Source organism: Homo sapiens, chromosome 12, assembly GCF_000001405.40.
Source record: "Homo sapiens chromosome 12, GRCh38.p14 Primary Assembly".
In the NCBI taxonomy this organism is placed as follows: Eukaryota; Metazoa; Chordata; class Mammalia; order Primates; family Hominidae; genus Homo; species Homo sapiens.
In genome coordinates, this window is record NC_000012.12 from 95,625,156 (window position 1) to 95,639,727 (window position 14,572).

Consider the following 14,572-nt stretch of genomic DNA (forward strand, 5'->3'; position numbering starts at 1 on the left):
TGAAACACAGATGCAAAATGGAGGAATCCCTCTCATTTGTCCCCCTGGCAGGACATATTTTAGAATAAAACCGGCAAGTACCTTGGCAGGCACCCAGCGTATCAGGTAAATTGTTAACTATCCGACTATTCTTTTACAAGAGCAAAATTGAGTGTGATATTAAAGCAAAGCCTCTTTATTTTAAATTATTAGTTCATAGTCTTGCTTTGGAGATCCCCAAAATGTCCATGCTAAGAACTTTGAAAAGCAGGCTTTTCTTTTTTCTTTTTGAACAATAGACATAAAATTCCAGACCTAGAGTGACAAATCAACACGTATCAGTTACTTTCATTGTCAAGGGCATTTTGGGTGTTCACACTTTATCACATTACTGGTAACCAAGTATTATTCCTGACCTGTGTGTTTGTTTATAATGTATACAGCAGAAGTTTGCTGGCTAAAGAAGGAAGCAACTGCTAATTCTGAGGAGTCAGAGACAGGGTGCTCCCATCCACCTGTGAGCATTGTCTGTAGACACAATAAATAGCACATCTTGCATGTATCTGTGCTCGATGAGGTCAGGCGCCGTATTGGTTTTACCTGTGTGTCTTCAGTGCCTACCTCAGTGCCTGCTACATATTAGGCATTCCATAAGTCAATAAATTCATAAAAGGAATAATAAACACGAGTTTCCTATCTGCAAATGCTATTGTAATAAAATACAAATTTATTTTATTTTATTATTATTATTTTTTGAGACGGAGTTGCGCTCTTGTCGCCCAGGATGGAGTGCAATGGCATGATCTCAGCTCACTGCAACCTCCGCCTCCCGGGTTCAAGCGATTCTCCTGTCTCAACCTCCCATCTCAGCCTCCCGGGTAGCTGGGATTAGAGGCGCATGTCACCACGCCCGGCTAATTTTTGTATTTTTAGTAGAGACAGAGTTTCATCATATCGGTCAGGCTGCTCTCAAACTCCTGACCTCAGGTGATCCGCCCGCCTTGGCCTCCTAAAGTGCTGGGATTACAGGTGTGAGCCACCGTGCCTGGCCTTGTTATTATTTATTTATTTATTTATTTGAGACAGGGTCTCCCTCTGTCTCCCAGGCTGGAGTGCAGTGGTGCCATCTCAGCTCACTGCAACCTCAGCCTCCCAGGTTCAAGTGATTCTTCCGCCTCAGCCTCCTGAGTAGCTGGGATTACAGGCGTGCCACCACAGCCCCGCTAATTTTTTTTTTTTTTTTGAGACGAAGTCTCGCTCTTGTCCCCCAGGCTGGAGTGCAATGGTACTATCTCCATACACAGATAATTTTTGTATTTTTAGTAGAGATGGGGTTTCACCATGTTGGCCAGGCTGGTCTCGAACTCCTGACCTCAGGTGATCCGCCTGCCTTGGCCTCCCAAAGTGCTGGGATTACAGGCATAAGCCACTGCGCCCAGCTGTCATCATATTTTTTATTGTGGTAAAATATAACATAAAACTTACTATTTTAATCATTTTTAAGTGTACAGTTATTGTGGCATACTGGTTCTAAATAGATTCTTAGAGTGCAAATACTACCCTGGGGGTGGGGGGTTCTCAAAATTCTTTATGCTAAGGATCTTCAGACCTACTGTGGTTGGAAATCATTGGTAGTCTATTTCCTAATAAGAAGTCATCTAATCTTGCAGGAGTTTGAGACCAGCCTGGACCACATGGTGAAACCTTGTCTCTACAGAAATTACAAAAATTAGCTGGCATGGTAGTGCATGCTTGTGGCCCCAGCTACTTGGGAGGCTGAGGTGGGATGATCATCTGAGCCCAGGGAGGTCGAGGCTGCAACAAACCGTGATCATGCCGCTGCACTCCAGCCTGGGTGGCTGAGTTTGTTTGTCTCAAACAAACAAAAACAAAAAGAAGTCATCCAAGCGTGACTATTTCCATTGTTGTGTGTCTTCAGGGAGTGATATGTTTAATGCCGATAAAAGTGTTACAATGTTCTTCCTTGTACTGACTTGAAACCTGTCTCCCTGTATTTTCCCATTGGTCTTATTGATTTTAGTTTGAGGAAATGGGATTAGTACATTATGTCTTTTTCCAAAGAACAGCCTTTATCAGTGGCTGGCTTTTCATTTTTTTTCCTTTAAAAGCAACTTACTATAAACTAGAATCTTGGTCAAATCTAACCAAAATTCCTCCTATTGTAATTTAAAATGGAAAAAATTAAAAATTTTGCTCTTTCTATCAATTCTGGACCTTAAAAGACATGGCTAACTATTAAAAAAATATATAGGGTAATTCAGGGCGCTGAACCCAAACTGGCAACCCTCGCACAGCATGTGCTACCTCTAGCGTGTGCTTTATTGTCAGAAACTTAATTCCCAGAGGTAGGACAAACACAGGAGATGAAGAGATGTATTTTCGAGTGGAGAGCTGTGGTCCGCTCCCATTCCCTTTATCTGCAGATACTTCTTGCTTCCTTCCCACCTAGTGAGATTTGTGCCTTCTTTTTGAGGCAGGGGGTGGGACCCAACTCCGGAGGCAAGGCTTGGACACTGGACCAAACTGAGGACCAGCTAGTTCCAACCCATCTGGTCTGCTGATCTGGAGAGTGAACACGTCCTGCCTTTGGGCCCCTTAGACCAGCTATCCAGAGATTTTTACTCCTCCAGTGCTACGTGGGGCCGACTGCCCATGAACTCAGTAGGAAGCAGTTACAGAAGATGGACCTCCGCCCTTCTGCAGCCCCCTTGAGATTAAGGAGTTATCTAGGCCGGGCGCGGTGGCTCACGCCTGTAATCCCAGCACTTTGGGAGGCCAAGGCGGGCGGATCACGAGGTTAGGAGATCCAGACCATCCTGGCTCACACGATGAAACCCCGTCTCTACTAAAAATAAAAAAAATAAAAAATAAAATAAAAATAAAAATAAAAAAATCAGCCAAGCGTGGTGGCGGGCACCCAGCTACTCAGGAGGCTGAAGCAGGAGAATGGCGTGAACCTGGGAGGCGGAGCTTGCAGTGAGCCCAGATCACCCCACTGCACACTGCACTCTAGCCTGGGCGACAGAGTGAGACTCTGTCTCAAACAAACAAAAAAAATGGAGTATCTAATCTCTGAGCAGGGAGTGAGGCAGGAGGAGGACTCGACTCCGGAGGCGGGGCTTGGACACTGGACCAAACCAAGGACTAGCTAAAACAGGTCCTGCCAGGCACGGTGACTCAGGCCTGTAATCCCAGCACTTTGAGAGACCGAGACGGGCAGATCATCTGAGGTCGGGAATTCGAGACCAGCCTGACCAACATGGAGAAACCCCATCTCTACTAAAAATACAAAATTAGCTGGGCCTGATGGTCCGTGCCTATAATCCCAGCTACTCGGGAGGCTGAGGCAGGAGAATCGCTTGAACCCAGGAGGTGGAGGTTGCAGTGAGCCGAAATCGTGCCATTGCACTCCAGCCTGGGCAACAAGTGGGAAACTCCTTCTCAGAAAACAAAAAACAAAAAGCAGGTCCTGGTGGAAGCAGCTTTCTGTAAGACACACCCACTAGTGTGCCATGTCAGATTACCATTGCTATGGCAACACTCATGTTGAAGCTACTGCCCCTTTCTATGGCAACAACTCTGATAACCCAGAAGTTACCACCCTCATCCTAGAAATGTCTGCATAAACTGCACTTTAATTTGCATATAATTAAAAGTGGGTATAGATACGAGTACAGAACTGCCTGTGAGCTGCTCATCTGGGCACACAGCGCATGGAGCAGCCCTGCTTTCTAATGCCACCACTCACCCTTGGATTCTGTGAACCCCAAATATCTGAGACAGATCTTAGTTAATTTGGAAAGTTAATTTTGCCAATAAATAGGTGACACAGCCTCAGGAGGGCCTGATGACATGTGCCAAAGGTGGTCAGAGGACTATTTGGTTTTATACATTTTAGGAAGTCATGAGATATCAATCAACATATATAAGATGAACATTGGTTTGGTCCAGAAAGGCAGGACAACTCTAAGTGCGGAGGGGGCTTCCAAGTCATAGGTAGATAAGAGACAAATGGTTACATTACTTTGAGTTTCTGATTAGCCTCTCCAAAGGAGGCAATCAGATAGGCATTTATCTCAGTGAACAGAGGGGTGACTTCGAATAGAATGGGAGGCAGTTTTGCCCTAAGCAGTTCCCAGCTTGACTTTTCCCTTTAGCTTAATGATTTTGGGACTCCAAGATTTTCCTTTCACAATTCTTTCCTGGGTGAAGCTAAGAACCCTCCTGGGCTAAACCCTAATTTTGGGGCTTGCCTGTCCTGCATCATTTTCAGCCATGTGATAGGCCCTCCCATTCAACTAGACTCCTGGCTTTACATTTTGATGAGGAATTATTATACTCAGAACACAGTGGGCCTAGTCCTAGGTCACACTCCAATGAATGCCAAAGGAAGGTTGACTACTGAGTCAAAGACAAAATAACAAAACAAGCCGGTTGGAGCTGCCAGTCCTTACTTGGCTGCCTCTTATGTTTCTCTGATTACCAGAGCCAGAATTAGCTATGAGTGGGAGACCACGCTCTTTTTCTTCACCTCCCACTGCTTGTTGATTCACGTGGGCATTTCAAAAGGATTCCCAAGTCCAAAATAATTTGCAATGAATACAAATATACTTCATTTCTAATTTTGGTCTTTTTTTTCAGTTCAGTATATGAAAATTCATTTATTTAGTGAAACCCTACATTAAAGCATCCCAACACAAAGCAGATTCGACTGTAACATAATTGGTGATTGGCTCATCTCATAGGCTTATATGATCAGTGTGTTAACATACAACAGGACTGTACCCTTTTACATGATTGAGTGTTTTGGATCTCACTCACACACAAAAACCCTGCCATAATGCTGTATCAATTAGAGCTGTTCAAATGTGAAGCTGCATTGGAAAATGGGAAACTTTATCACCATATATATGTATATTTTTTGAGACAGAGTTTCGCTCTTTTGCCCAGGCTGGAGTGAAGTGGCATGATCCCAGGTTTTATTAAAGTCTGCAAAGGGATTTTGTACCTGATAGTTAAATAAAGTAATTAAATAAATACACTTTCTTTAACTGTATGGGAACCAATATCTAAATGTGACTTTTGTACTTGCTTTCAGAAGTCACTTCTTGGACAAGATCTTGAAAGTTTAGCACCTTGGTAGTTATTTCCACAAGTGATCCTTTGGCAAAACTTACTTATACCATGGTATGGAATCAAAAGGAGCTATCTTAACCTGGTTTTCTTTTCTCTCATCTCAAAAAACCACTTCTGCTCATTCAGAATTTATCAGTATCCCTGTAATTCTTTTTAGTCTTGTTCTAAGAATTACCTGACAGTATTAATAAAGGCTGACTAGCTTTAGTTATGACTCCAGAGTTGGATTTAGCTAAACCAACCCAATTAGGCCATCAGTGCTAAGGGCAGCATCGGCCTTTCATAGTGACAACCGGCCTATCCCCTTCCTTTCCACCAGGCAGGAAGGAAACACTTTTGTCATTTCTAACCAACAAGGAAACATTTTCTGGTTGCTCCTTAACAGAAAACAGGAAATTCTGTTGGTCATTTTCCCATGGTAATCATCTAAATACCTATCTCTTGATAGATCCCAGATAATTCTAGGACTGGAAGAGAAGCCTCAGATCATATGGTCCGTTTCCATGACAGCCCTTTATACCCATATTAAAAAGTCTAAGTCGGCTCTCAGCCATCTCCTCACCATATTACATGGTATTTTCTCTACGGGAGTTCATAGTATTCACCTCCTCTCTTGGAAACAAAAAAGCATTCCTCTTACTCCTCTCTGAAGCACTGGAGAGTGTCCCCAGTATAGTATTTGATGTCTTTGCATGTAGAGGGACAGTTTTTTCAAAGCAAAAGACAGAGGAGAGGTGATGGGGAAGGAGGAGAGAAGAGAGAGAGGGAGTAGGGGAGGAGCAGGGGAAGGGGCAGAAGAAGAAGAAGAGACTGTTGCAGATAAAAAGAGACTTGAGGTCAAGCGAGGTAGCTCACGCCTGTAATCTAAGCATTTGGGGAGGCCAAGGCGGGTGAATCACCTGAGGTCAGGAGGTTGAGACCAGCCTGGCCAATATGGTGTAACCCTGTCTCTACTAAAAATACAAAAATTAGCCAAGAGTGGTGGCATGTGCCTGTAATCCCAGCTACTCAGGAGACTGAGGCAGGAGGATCGCTTGAACCCAGGATGTGGAGGTTGCAATGAGCTGAGATCGTGCCACTGCACTCCAGCCTGGGCGACAAGAACAAAAAAACTCCGTCTCAAAATAATAAATAATAATAAATAAATAAATAAAGAGAGACTTGACAGCCTTATCAGCTAACTGCAATTGATGGGCCTAGTTTAGATCTTGATTTGAGCAAAATAATTGTAAAAGGATACTTTTGAGATAGTTGAGAAATCTGCACATGGACTAGGTACTAACTAGATGATACTAAGAAATGATTGCTAGTTTTGTTCGACACAATCATTGTATTGGAGTTATGTTAACAAAAACTTCTTTTCTGTTAGGAATACAAACTGAAGGATTTATAGTTGAAATGATAATATATCTGGTATTTGCTTTAAAATATTCCAGAAAAACAAGATAAAATAAGATTGGATAAATGCTAATTACTGAAACTATGTACAATGAACTAAGATTCATTACTTGCTTTACAATTATTTGTATATACTTAAAAATTTCCTAGGATACAATTTTCCGGGTTGTTTTTTAAGAGCAAGGAAGAGCACATCTTTCTTTCATTTTTTCCCCACTGTTAATTTTTTGTTGTGATTATTCTAGTGGCAGAGAAGACATATTATTCAATCCAGGTCTTGCCTGTATTATTTATTTATTTATTTATTTAGACAGAGTCTCCCTCCGTCACCCAAGCTGGAGGGTAGTGGTGCGATCTCGGCTCACTGCAACCTCCACCTCCCAGGTTCAAGCAATTCTGTGTCTCAGCCTCCTGAGTAGCTACGACTACAGGTGTGTACCACCATGCCTGGCTAATTTTTGCCTGCATTATTTTTAATAATGATAAAGTAACTCAATAGTTGATCACTAAATCGAATAACTACAAGGCTGGTTTTTTTATTTTTTATTTTTTAGTGCTAACTACTATATTTCATGTGCTTTATATTTAATTAATAAGTATAGAGGAGGTTATTTTTTCCTTTTGCAGTTGAGGAAACTGAGGCTCAGAGAGGCTACAGTAACAACTGCAAGGTTAATAGAGCCAGCAGATGATGAAGGCTGAGATTTGGAAACAGATCTAGTTCCCAAACCTGTGCTTTTTGCACTATCATCTTACCTCTCATTCTGTTTGTGGTTTGGGGCCTTGCTAACTGGTGACAGCCAAGTTAGCTGGCAACTAAGAGTGAGTTTCTTAAAATGTAAATCAGACTATATCACTTTGCTACAGAAAACCTTCCAAAGACTTCCAGACTGAGTAAAATCCCAATTATTTTCAGAAGCCATAGGGCTCTTCCTGATCCCCTCCATCCCTGCCACCCCATGCCCCTCATCTCTTTCAACTACCACTTTGCTCGCTCTGCTGCAGCCTGGCGCAATATTCTAAGAACTTTTCCTTAACTGTCTAAGCTTCCTGCTTAGGCCCTTCCCTTGATATTCCCTCTGCCTGAAATGCTCTTTCCCAGATACCACATGGGTCACTTTCTTCCCTCTCCCCTAATTTCCTTCAGTCTTTGCTCAAATGTATTCTTCTTCTTTTCAAATACATATAATTTTAAATTTTATTTATTTATTTATTTTTGAGACAGGGTCTCACTCTGTAGCCCAGGCTGGACTGCAGTGGCACAATCTTGGCTCACTGCAGCCTCCGCCTCCCAGCCCCAAATGATCCTCCTGCTGCTCTGTCTTCAGCCTTCCAAGTAACTAGGACCATGGACGTACACCATCCCACCCAGTTATTTTTTATTTCTATTTTTTGTAAAGACAGAGTCTTGCTGTGTTGCCCAGGCTGGTCTCAAACTTCTGGCCTCAAACGATCATCCCACCTTGGCCTCCCACAGTGCTGGAATTACAGGCATGAGCCACTGCCCCCTGCCCTTCCTTATCTGTGTTCATCGCACTCATCACTACCTGACATTATTATGTACTTATTTATTTATCTATTACCCCTGAGTAGAGTGTAAACTCGGTGAGGACAGCAGTTTTTTCCATTCACTGCTGTATCCCTAGCACCTAGACCAGTGCCTGGCACACAGTAGCTGCCCAGTAGTACTTGCTGAATCACTGAATGACTCTCAACCTCATGAGTGCGGTGCTGTGAGTCACCGGGTTACTACATCATGCCCAGACTGGGCAACCTGGGGGCGCTGAAATGGAATCACCGGTAAAGATCTGCAGCTTCCTCTGTGATGTGGGTGTGGTGGGAAGATTTGCATTCTGAATCCATCATTTCCTTGCTGCCGGACTGTGAGCAAGTTTCTCAACTCTCTGTAGTCTTCGTTGTGTCATATGTAAAATGGAGATAATAATTATTAGATAATTACATAATTATCAGATAATTATGTAGAATACTGAAAAAGTTATCCAGTTCAAACCTCCTTTTTATGGTAAATCAGAAGTTCCCCCTCAGCTCCATAAACTTCATTTGCTTTCACAATCCCAGACATCTGATTAGGCAGCCAAGAGCTCTGAGAGGCCTTTGGCCGGAAACTAAGGATTTATGAGAGCCAATGTTCTCTGTCTCTCCTGTTTGAGCATGTAGATGACATGGAATAACCTCTCTGATGTATTGAATTCGTTTCTCCAGTGTCGTTTATGCTGCCAGATGATCACTTCCCAGTTTGATAAAAATCACTTCATAATGGGGATTAGATGGTACCAAAATGACAGTGGTCTCTGCTGGATCTGACAAATTCTCTCTCTCTCTTTTTTTAACCCCAAATCTCTAGTATGCCAAAAGTTTGCACAAAGGCTTATTGTTGTTATAATTGTCTAGGACTTAATAAATTAGCTATTGTCCTGAGATAACCTCAAAACTCCTGGCTAGGAGGTTAAAAACGATTTTTAAGGGAGCATAAATATGGACACACTGGTAAAAAAGTTTTTCATCCCGTGTAGCATTTTTTTTAGGTTTGAGTGGAAAGTGGTGTGTGACCACAGGAATGTACATTAACAAAAGCAGTAAGCTAATTAAATAACACACAAATGTTGTATTGTCTGGGTATTAATTCTTCAAGGTCATGTCTTAGTTTATAATGGCAAAGGGAATTTATTAAGGGAGAATTATTTGACAGGAATCTTTTTGTTATTATAAGTTACATGCAGGTTAAGATAATCAACAATATTTTTTCTATAAGAACCATAAACAAGAGAAATCCTGCAACATATACTTCTTGCTTATTACATTATGGTGTTTAGCTTACAGGAACTTGGGAGGAGATAAGAAAAAAGAAGAGAAGAGGAGAGGAGGCAAACACTCATTGGGCGTTGTATTCGTCTGTTTTCATGCTGCTGATAAAGACATACCCAAGACTGGGTAATTTATAAAAGAGGTTTAATGGACTCACAGTTCCATGTGGCTGGGGAGGCCTCGCAATCATGGCAGAACGTGAATGGCACGTCTTACATGGCAGCAGGCAAGTAAAGAATAAGAACCGAGCAAAAGGGGTGTCCCCTTATAAAACCATCAGATCTTGTGAGACTTATTCACTACCATGAGAACAGTATGGGGGAAACCGCCCCCATGATTCAATTATCTCCCACCAGGTCCCTCTTACAACACGTGGGAATTATGGGAGCTACAATTCAAGATGAGATTTGGGTTGGGACACAGCCAAACCATATCAGATGTTAAACTGGAGGTTAATGTTCTAGTCAGTTGGCTATAGCGAGAGAGACTGAGAGTTGCCCTAGTTTCTGAGGTTTAATACCTAACAGAGCAGGAAGCAAATGAGCACTGAGCCATGTGTGCACCTTTTTCCTGCCATCCTTAAACAAACATAGCTGCAGTCCAAGGGTGCAAAGGTGGGTTTGGCACTGGAGCTGGGTTTCCTGGTGACTTTACTCTCTGTCTTGGCATTTGGTCTGTGTTTATAGTCAAAGCAACAGACATGAGGTAATGAAGCAGAGAAGGGAATCACAGAATAATGACCATAACATAAAGGCACTGTTTACTCTGAACCTTTTGAAGGATGGAGGAGGATGTGAGAGTCAGCTGCATTGCATCTGCCTTGGGGTCATCTGCGGCCTAGACTTGCTCTATTCTGTGTCCATGATCACCCAGTATTACACCACAGCTATTGGAGGTCAAGGGGGCTGTGAAAAGCATGTGATGTAATCACCCTTCCAGGGATTCCTGTTGAGACTAGTGATGATAGCTGAGTGCCAGGAACTCCTTGGTAGTGGGCATAAAAAGGTGCTTAATAAATAGTTGAGTAACTTGACTCTTACGCAGCCTATAGTCATGGTCTCCATTCCTTTAAAAATATAACCCAGGGTATGGTAGGGCTACACCTGGGGAACTGAGAGACTGGGGACTAGTGTTACTAATGCATCCTTGTTTCATCTGGAGGTGACAGTAGGGATAGGATTCATTTAGGAAAGGCAAATAACACACTGAAGGACATGAGGCTACAAGAGAGACAGTGGGCCATATCCCACCTCAGGGACCCAAAGGACACAGTCTAAATGGCAGCTTCAAGTGTGACAATTTGAGATGGAGTTTTGCTCTTGTTGCCCAGGCTGGAGTGCAATGGCGTGATCTCGGCTTACTGCAACCTCCGCCTCCTGGGTTCAAGCGATTCTCCTGCCTCAGCCTCCTGAGTTGTTGGGATTACAGGCCCCTGCCACCATGCCCGGCTAATTTTGTATTTTTAGTAGAGATGGGGTTTCTCCATGTTGGTCAGGCTGGTCTCAAACTCCCAACCTCAGGTGATCTGCCCGCCTCAGCCTCCCAAAGTGCTGGGATTACATGAGCCACCGTGCCCGGCCTCCTCTACTAATGTTTTAGGGACTTACACAAGTTTAGTTCAAAAAGACTTTTTGGAAAGAGCTATGAAATATAATCTATTGCAGCAGTATGGAGACTCAGTGGAGAAACGGCTATGAGCTACCCTTTGACGAAGGTATTGCAGAGCACCTCTAAGAAGTAACTTTTTTTTTTAGAAAAAACTTCTGTTTTAGGTTCAGGGATACTCGTGCAGGTTTGTTATATAGGTAAACTTGTGTCACAGGGTTTGCTGTACAGGTTATTTCATCACCCAGGTACTAAGCCTAGCACCCAGCAGTTATTTTCCACTCCTCTCCCTCCTCCCCTCCTCCACCCTCAAAGGAGAACCCAGTGTCTGCTGTTCCCTTCTTTGTGTTTATGATTTCTCATCATTTAGCTCCCACTTATAAGTGAGAGCATGTGGTATTTGGTTTTCTGTTCCTGTGTTAGTTTGCTAAGGATAATGGCTTCCAGCTCCATCCATGTTCCTGCAAAAGACATGATCTGGTTCTTTTTTATGGCTGTGTAGTATTCCATGGTGTATATATACCATAGTTCCTTTATCCAATCTGTCATCAATGGGCATTTAGGATGATTCCATGTCTTCGCTATTACGAATAGTGCTGCAATGGAAAGCAGTGTGGTGATTCCTCAAAAAGCTAAAAGCAGAACTACCATTCAAGCCAGCAATCCCATTATGGGTATATACCCAGAGGACTATAAATCATTCTATCATAAAGACACATGCATGTGAATATTCACTGCAGCACTATTCACAATGGCAAAGAAATGACTATGAGATGTTAGTGACTAACTGCCAAGGCAACAAGGGACATCAGAGCACATGAAGCTTTGCCAGTAGGGTAGGCCATGGCAGGAGGGAACAGCATGGAGCCTGAGACTAAAGAGCCTGGTCCCTCTTGAGCACAGTAATCCAGTCTGGTTATCACAAACTGAAATAAATCCAATAATGGAATAGTCAGAGAGCAGAGTCTGGAGTTCAAGTTGTTTCTGGACCTGCATAATGTAACGTAACGTAACGTAACGTAACGTAACGTAACGTAACGTAACGTAACGTAACGTAACGTAGCGTAGCGTAGCGTAGCGTAACGTAACGTAACGTAACGTAACGTCAGAACAGGCAGCTCAGAGTGGCTCTGTCACCAGGCAGGTAGCATGGCTGCTCTCAGAGGCAGAGATCACCAAAGGATTCAGTAGCAAGGAGTGCAACTAGAACCCAGTGGTGGAATCCGAGAGCGTGCACGTGTCCCTTTACATGGGAAAAGACTTCCCAGTGAGCCCTTTTGGCAAAAGAGGCACCAAATTGAGGAAAACAAATTGTTTCTTAATGGCAGTGACACAGAAGAGTTAGCAGTTTCTGATTTTGCCAAATCCAATCCTTCGTTAACAGCATAAATCAGGTTAAAGTGGAATATTTGTTTTCACGTTGTTTGTTGTGATTTGAACACTGATGTCATTACTTCCTCATTTCCAGTTTTATGCTTTTCTCTATTTCCCACTGGAACCAGTCAGCTAAAGAATATTTGGCTGGTGGACAACAGGAAAATACCATGCATAGCAACTGAATATGTATGTGCTATGGAAAAATCTCCTGGCCCTATAAAATCAACAAGGAAAATTCCTAGCACAGATGCAATAGTGACTTCTCACGTTAACTATAGTTCATTTCACGTAATCCTTATGTTCTAGAAACAACATCTGTTCATCCTGCTGTAGATCTGTTGGAAGCCCAGGCGTGAGAATGCAGGAAAAATTTTCCAAGCCAAATTACTATGTAATACTAATAGTGATACTTCATTATGTGAGACACTTGTTGGCGTATTTTTCTTTTAGGCTTCTTGCAAAATGGTGCAGATGGTATCACATAGTGGAGGTAGTGGCTGCTTCTCGGGATCAGGGCTTGCTTACATGCTCTCCCCACCTCAACTTTCTGCTAAGAGTCACTAGAGGGGCCAAGTGAGACTTTAGATAGGACCAGCATTTGCACGAGGTGGAAGATCTCTCCAATACCACACCTGAGGTGAGACAGGAAGAAGAATAGAGCCTACGCCAGTAAGTCAGGTGCTGTCACCATGCTTTGAACTCCATGGACGTTTAGCAGGCTGTGAGGAGTCTGGGAGGGTGGACAGGAATGGGACCTGGGGAAGGAGAGCAGCAGGAACTTGGGGGGACAGATGTGCGCAGGAGCCTGGAATTGTGAGCCTGGTCCAATAGGCCAGGCTGTGGTTCCCCTCGAACACAAGAGGGAAGGAGATGCCTCTGCTTTTCCTCAATGAGTGAGTGCTGGGATGGAAAGTGGAGCAGAGGGTCAGGACCCAGATTGCGATTAGAAAGTTATCATAAAGCCACTAAGGTCAATCAGGCAAGGAGGAAGCAAGCAAGAAAGATGCCAACAACTAGTCGGGCATGGTGGCTCACGCCTGTAATCCCAACAATTTGGGAGGCTGAAGCGGGTGGATCTCTTGTGGTCAGGAGATCGAGACCAGCCTGGTCAACATGGCGAAACACCCTCTCTACTACAAATACAAAAATTAACCGGATGTGATGATGCACGCCTCTAATCCCAGCTACTTGGAAGGCAGAGGCAGGAGAATCGCTTGAACCTGGGAAGCAGAGGTTGCAGTGAGCCAAGATCACACCACTGCACTCCAGCCTGGGCGACAGAGTGAGACTCTGTCAAAATCAATCAATCAATCAATCAATCAACAACTGCAAACACCAGCAGCTTAATGTAAAAGGACCCCAGGCCCTCCGGAGAGGTTAAGTTCTGGGCAAGAGGCCAGACCAACAGAACCGGGATAATTGGCTTTTTTGCCACCACTTTCTTCTCTCTCTAAGCCATCTTATATTGCATTTGGATTTTTCTTCCTAAAACAAAACTTGAGATACATTACTCTGTGCTCAGAGAGGTTTGGATGACTCCCTTTTGCCCAATGGACCAAGTTCCAACTCCTTAGCCAGGTGTTCAAGAGCTTTGACAATCTGGCCTTCAACAACCTTTCCAACCTTATCATCCACTGCTCACCTTCCTAATCCTCCTATTCTGGAGAGAGTGGTGTTTTTTCATTGTCCGCACAGAATTTGCTTTCTTGCTCTCTGAGAACCCAGGATGAGATGAAAACCGTCTCAACTGTCTTCTCGTCTTGCCATAGGAAATCTGGATTTGTCGACCAGGCTGCCAGTTATGGTAGCCACTTCTTTGCTCACATGTGATTTCACGTCTCAGCAACATTTGACAGTCTTCTTCCTGAAATCTCACTCTCTCATTTCTCTCACCTTCTCTTAATTATTCTCCAATGGCACTTGCTGCTCTTTCTAAATCCTTGTTTGTTTTTCTTCTTGTGGTTGAGCAGCAAATGCAGAGGTAACTTAGGGATTTGTCCAAGGCCCTGTTCTTTGCCTACATTCTTTTTTTTTTTTTTTTTTTTTTTTTTTTTTGAGACAGACTCTCACTCTGTCATCCAGGCTGGAGTGAGGTGGTGTGATCTTGGCTCACTGCAACCTCCGCCTCCCGGGTTCAAGCAATTCTCCTGCCTCAGCCTCCCAAGTAGCTGGGACTACAGGCATGTGCCACCACACTTGGCTAATTTTTTATATTTTTAGTAGAGATGGG

At 43.4% G+C, this 14,572-nt stretch overlaps 1 annotated feature.

The window, feature by feature from the left end:
• Nucleotides 7,804-9,003: an enhancer, noted in NCBI's record as "MED14-independent group 3 enhancer chr12:96026735-96027934 (GRCh37/hg19 assembly coordinates)". NCBI's record gives its function as "activates an origin of replication core promoter dependent on BRD2, BRD4, P300/CBP and CDK7 cofactors, and independent of MED14, by STARR-seq in HCT116 cells {active_cell/tissue: HCT116}" and the evidence as "EXISTENCE:reporter gene assay evidence [ECO:0000049][PMID:35650434]".